Here is a 6,861-nt window from a genome sequence, read left to right on the forward strand (position 1 = left end):
TTGCTCATATTCATGAGGGCTGTGGGTTGGCTACAGTTCTACTGGTTTTTGCTCGTTCCACACCGATTCATTCCCATTGGCCAGAACACATCACATGGTCAAGCTCAAAGTCAGCAAATCAGTAAAGTACACTGCTGTATACTGGAGGCAGGGGAAGTCACAGGCCACAGGAAGAGGAATGCAGAAGGTAAATCGTGGTGAACAATAACCCAATACAACCACAAAGTTTCTCAAAGTTTTTTTTTTTTTTGGTGGGGAGGCAATGATAGAAAAGAAAAAAATACAGTGGAAATTGGTGCTTATTAACAAAAGGTTGTACTTTGAAGTCACATCAACTCTGATACATTCAGTGTAGTAAATACTAGAAGGCCCTAAGAGGGAAATCAGAGGTTACTGAAAGTTTTTATTTCAATTCTTCCATTTGATTCACTATTTGCTTTTTCATTAACTAAAAGGTATGAACAAAATATAATAAACATAGTTTTTGATAGCACAAAGAATGTGGTGCTTCCCTTGCTCAAAACATTTATACTTGTTCACTTCTGGACTTGCCTTCAAAGGTGAGGTCTCTTTCTCATGAGTGGTCTCACTGAAAAAAGCCATGTTCATTCTTGGAGGGTGGATTCAGATATTTGAAGAGCTCATTTGAAATGAAGTCTTCTGAATCAGTTAAATAAATGATCAAGGTGGATAACAGAGTTGGAAATGGATAAAAGCAAAGTGCCATCATAAAGCAAATTAACTAATTTATTGAGTAGCTTTAGTTTGAGTAGCAAACTGGGTCTGAGGGTAATTTCAGATGAGCATTTCCAAGAATGTTTTCAACAATGGCAGCATGATTGGTATAAATGCATAATCCCTTAAGGTGATACTTTAAAAAGTAAAACTCACTTGATGCAAGTTCTGAGTTTTGCTTTTACTCTTTTGTCTTATCTTTTAAATTTCCCTTCTCTCTAGTCTTCCCCATATGTACTTCACAGTGGTTTGTAGTAAACACATTTAGTATTTTGTTTCTATTTTCCTCAGCAAGTCAATACTTGCTATTCAAATTACCAATAAAAATTCTGAGAGCCTGCAATGATCACAGCATTATGCTAATTTCTATAGGAAAGAGTTAGTCCTGACTCGACCAATTTTCATAAATTTGCATGTTAGACATCATAGTACCACCAGTGAGTCCACACAGGTACTTTAAGCTGATAGCCTCTTCAACACCAAGCAATAAGCAACTGATAATTTCTATGTATGTCCTAGTGGAAATTCAAATAAAATCAAGTAAGAGATGGCCAATGAAATTTCCCCTAATGATAACAAATCATTGTTATCAAAAAGATACAGGATGCAAATGTGGGCCTCTGATACAACAAACACTGAGGCCAGGCACAGTGACTCACATCTGTAATCCCAGCAATTTGGGAGGCCAAGGCAGGCAGATGCTTGAGCCCAGGAGTTGGACACTACCCTGGGAAATGTGGTCAGACCCCGTTGCTACAAAAAATAGAAAAATTTCCCAGGCGTGGTGGCACGTGCCTGTAGTGCCAGCTACTTGGGAGGCTGAGGCGGGAGGACTCCTTGAACCTGGGGTGTGGAGGTTGCAGTGAGCCGAGATCATACCACCGCACTTCAGCCTGGGTGATGACAGAAAAAGACCTAATCTCAAAAGAAAAACAAAAAACAACAACAACAAAATACTGCTCAATTGCAGGATATATAATTATGATCCTTTCTCTCCAAAGTCATACCCAATTCTTGGAGATACCAAGTCAAAATAAACTTAGGAGAGAGAATTCCTGAAGCTCATAGCAGTGTATGAGCCCACTGATCTCCATTCTGCGGCTTTGAAATCTCCTTGTGTGAAAGGATATTCAGGAACCTGATAAGGGCAATGGCTGCAGTCCCTGGATTATGGTGCTGGGGGCTCTTAATAGGTGAGACTCATTGTGAAATCTGCGCCCTAAAGTGCAGCTAGAACTAAAGCCCTCCTCCACCTAACCTGAACTTTACACTGTCTAGCTGATACTTCAGCTTTACTTCCAATTTCTTCCCCACTACACCCCCTCTTTTCATGGGGATAGGTGAAGTGATAAAAATGGAAGAGAAGAGGAGCTCATGGGGGAACCGCTTGGCAGGGGCACTTACGCCAGTGTAAACCTCAGACCAGTCTGGGCAACAGAATCCCCTCAAAGTCACTCTGCATTCTTCCTGTACAGCCTTTAAAAGTAGTATCGCTGGCACCATCTGCCCCCCGTTAGGCAGTCCTGCTGTTGAAATTTCTGAGCTGCAGGAATGTTATCCATTTCAGTATGTTCACATTAAAATCAGTGCAGAAAGGAAAAATCTTCACTAGCTGCTTCAGCAGAACTCAGAAAGAGCAGCACAGCAGCGTTCCTTTCTCCTGAGCCCTGAAATTCGTGGTAAAGCACCGTCTTGTGGGTTCCCAAAGAGATTTGCTTACAAAGATCGGTGTAGGCGAGGCTGATTGGGTCTCCGGAGATCTCATCCTCTGACAGCTCGCTGCACCCCGCGGAATCTCGCTTTAGGTGTGTAACTGCCTGCCTGACACCTGACCCTTGCTCTCCGCAGCCTGACTCCAGGCTCTTGCAACTGTCCCCCAAGGCGCGGCCGACTCGCAAATGGGGCCGGCCTGGGCAGGGAGCGGCCCCCCGGCTGCCGCCGGACAGCCACATTTTAAGGCCTTGTAGTCACTTTCTCGCTAGTTCGAGGAAAGTTTTTGTACATTTTCATAAAAGGAGACCAGAAGAGAACACCCTCCTCTCACTTCCTAATATATTATGTCCTCCCCTGCCGAGTCCGGGGACTTAGTCTGGATTTGGTAACTGAAGTAATATAAATGTTAGCTAAGAAGTATTCCCGCAATGTGGTTCCAATTTAAGCTTGTTTTGAAGTCTAAAGGCCCAATATGTCTCATAGATTCTTCGCTGGACATTAGCACTAATGTAATTTGCCGAGGAGCGCAGGCCTCTATCTAGAAGGCGGCCGGGGCCCTCTGCGGATCAGGGCGCTTTCCCAGTGCCAGGGGGACTCCTGCCTTCGCCGGGAGCTCCCCCCACGGCTTTTGATGTTGGAGGCTTTGCTCAGGAAATTGCCTTATACTTGCCAGAGTTGCAGATAAATGGAACAAGGTAAGTGCTGTACCCTGTCACCACCCTCACTCCTCTCCCGAATCGGGAAGGACGCAGCCCAGGCTAAATGTATCCTTTCTCTGCAAGCTGTTTGCACTTTACTTCAATAACATCTCTCTCCCAACACTGACTTGATTTGCGAAGACACGCATGCCTTTTCCGAGTTGGACTGACGCACGCCCTCCCGGAGCCCGCCCCCCATCCGCAGCCCAGTTCGGCGCTCACACTCCTCCGGAGCCCCCGGCTGCATTCCCGTAATGAGCATCCCCCTGGAACTGCCTGCCCTTTATCTTGCTGGGGGGACCCGCACCTTTTGAACTGCCATCTGTAGATTGTGTTGGTGCACTGACTTGTTAACTGTGCCACGCTGTGAAGGAAATGGCATGATTTAGATCAAGTGCTCACGACGGCTGTTCATAAGAAACACTTGAGCCAAGCTGTTGCTGCTCAGAATGTGCCCTGGGGAGAGGGGTTCCGTTTCGGGTCACGGTCCTGCCTTGTATGAGGGCAGGCGCAAAGCGCTGCAATCCCGGGGCTTCGCTGGGGCTGGAGGGAGGGGGTGGGGAGAAACATTATGAAACCATAGAAGCGAGGCTGCCAAATTAACTTCTCACCCTTTCAATCACACTCCAGAGGATAAAAGCCTAACGTTTCTGCCTCAGAAACAGGCTCGGTTTACACCAAACAAGTTATTTCTCTGATTTATCAGCCCAGCCAGCTATCCTTCTAATTACTGAAAATCTCCGCTGTTTATGAAACTACTTTTGTAGGTGTTCAATGAACAAGGAGCTAGGAAATGGGTGTTGGAAAGTTTTTGTGGACAGAACTTTCCCCACGACTGCTTATCAAAGTAAATAAAAAGCAAAAGGTTTCTGGCTTCAGTTGTTTCGTTTCCATGAAAATGTTTCTGCTTGTTCCAATGGGCAAAAATAAAGTTGCAGAACCATAAATTCAGGTAAGCACAGATCATTCAATCTTCACTCCTAAATTGCATGTATCTGTAAGGAAGATTTATTTGGGAAGGCAAAAGTAAAACTGAGAAAGAGTGAGGGAACAGGGGAACCCTTTAGCTTAATTCATCAACTCCCAGGCTTGTTCCAAGGACACTGATTTGTCCATTATATGGAAATAGATGATTAGGGTCATTCTCTAAGACAAATTTACTTTTCTGCACACTCTAAATCTGTTTAGTCACTTTAAAGGTGTCAATTATTGGAACAGGCTAAGACTATGAATTTCTTAGTAATAGCTTTAATAACATTTTGAAATGAAAAGCAGATACCTTGAAGTCAGCCTACTTTGAAAGGACATATGAGCAGCTCTGGTTTTAATTTGTGTAGCATTCTACATCTGGAATCCCTTATAATTAAAACTAAAAACTGAACTACTACTTCCACCTGTCAAATGATGAAAAGATGAATGCACTAATAAGTTACTAAATAGCCCAACATGATAGAGTTTACATTCTCATTCTATACAGTAAAACAGAATTTTGGACAGGAGGCTAAAGGTCTTTGGTCATTACTAATAACACTCTTTCAGTATTAACCTGTATGTCCTGCTGCAACTACTGACGGGGTCTTTTTTACATTAAGAGCTAATTTTGGCTAAGTCTTTGTTTTAAAAGCAAATATAGATTTTGGAAAGAATATGTAAAGCACATAAACTGAGACGTACTTTTCATCCCACACTTTGTTTTCATCGTTTTCAAAACCCTTCTAATGGCTTCCAATAACAATTGCATAGAGTTGTTAAGTGCAGTATTTACAAATATTTACCAAGCACCCACAGTATGCAAGCATGTGTTTAGCACTGCGGATACAGTTCTGATCACGATAAATCTTTGTAGGTAATTTAAAGTTGGGAAAATTTGTAATTTTTTCCCATTCCTTCAGAATAACAAAAATCACATTTTTGCCTAGATTCTGATAAGAAAAAAGAGTTTTCTAAAGCTTTTGCTTTCACTCCAATTAAAACAACAATGGTCATTAAAATGCTCTCAGACTGTCACTGGTGATCAGAAGGTTAATTATTTTAAAATGTAAATCCTGAGTTGTAATCCCTATTGAAGCTGTTTGGAACAACTCCCCCTGCCGAGGCTGAGCTGTGTGGGCGGCCCCGAAAGGCTCATTTTTCTTACTGCGCAGACCTGCCTCTCTGTTGTGAAATAAAAATGGAAATATCACATTTTGAAAAAAGCATTGATTCTCCTAGAAAAAAAGTAGTGAAGAGTTTTGCCAGCAGTTGAAGGGTCTTTCCAGGAGTGGACTCTGGCTTGTCTTAATTGTTCCATTCAGCATAGTGACTCCCATTGGCACAACAGAAAGCAAGCAAGGCCTGGAGGCAGCCATGATCACAATGCACCAAATTCTCCCTCTGTGAAAAAGTATACCCAGGAAGAGAATGCCAGTCTGGTTTCACTCTTTTGGACCACTGGGGACTCCATTAAATTGTTGCTTTAGTATCCCTCTCTATACATGGCTACTTTCCTTTAGAGGAAAAGTATGATCTGGCTACCACACACTTGTCCTCAGACACAGCTTACAAAGTGGCCACCCAAGACCTCAATCCAGCCTGAAGACATGCTTCCCAAGGCCAACGTGTTTTAAAACCCAGGAGATTCCTAGCAGCATTGTTCACAATAGCCAAAAGGTAGAAGCAACCTAAGTGTCCATCAATGAGTGAATGGATAAAATAAAATGTGGTATATACATACAACCGAATTTTATTCAGCCTTAAAAAGAAAGGAAACTCTGACGCATGCTACAACGTGGATGAACCTTGAAGACATTATGCGAAGTGAAATAAGTTGCTCACGAAAGGTCAAATCTTATGTGATTCTACATGCATGAGCTACCTAGAGTAGTCGAATTCATAAACAGAAAGTAGAATGATGTTGTCAGGGGCTGTGGATTGGGGGTAGTTATTATTTAATGGGTACAGAGTTTCAATTTGGAGAGATGAAAAAAATTCTGGAGATGGTTTCACAACAATGTGCATGTATTTAATATCACTCAATGGTACATTTAAAACAGCTAAAATGGCAAATTGTATGATATATATATAACCAGAATAGATCAAAATACTTGACATTAAAATGGAGATTTACAATTTATCTGAAAACAAAGAAACCTAAGTAACTTATTAATATTAGCCAGCAAACTTGAATAACAAAAATTGAAGCTGAGTAGCCCTTGCACCCTTAAATGTGCACTTCAGCTCACCATGACCCTGACTCCGCCCTCTCGTCTTCCATCCATCCTTCACTCACTTAGCCTGCCAGGTCCCTGCAGCCATCTTCTGCTGCAAGGGACCCTGGAGCTAGCTCTCACATGTACATACAACTTTCACAGACTTGCTAGAATCAGATTTTAACCTGTAATACCCCCAATTAACCCAGGCCCAGGTGAAGTGAGGTGACAGGCATAAGGTGGCATCCAAGATAGAAACATGATTGAAAAGCCCCTCTCCTGCAAAACGAACCCTTGACAGTCCCCTCCACATACCCTCCTAGGGCACTGGATATCACACTCCAGGGACCTATGAAGCCACGCTTCCCTACTCAACAGATGCAAACACGGCCATAGGTGGACGCATACAAAAAAGCTAGAAGCACTTTTCAGGATCGGGAGAGTTTTGTATTATTCATGTTTCTGATTCTGACTTCATATAAATTTATGATAGATTTTGTAGCTCAAAGAGCAATGAATTTAAGAAT

At 42.5% G+C, this 6,861-nt stretch overlaps 1 annotated feature.

Moving 5' to 3' along the window:
* Window positions 3,932–4,844: an enhancer, noted in NCBI's record as "VISTA enhancer hs1414". NCBI's record gives its function as "enhancer in: limb[10/13]" and the evidence as "EXISTENCE:transgenic organism evidence [ECO:0001131][PMID:17130149]".

The sequence above is a fragment of the Homo sapiens genome, chromosome 14 (assembly GCF_000001405.40).
Source record: "Homo sapiens chromosome 14, GRCh38.p14 Primary Assembly".
Lineage (NCBI taxonomy): Eukaryota > Metazoa > Chordata > Mammalia > Primates > Hominidae > Homo > Homo sapiens.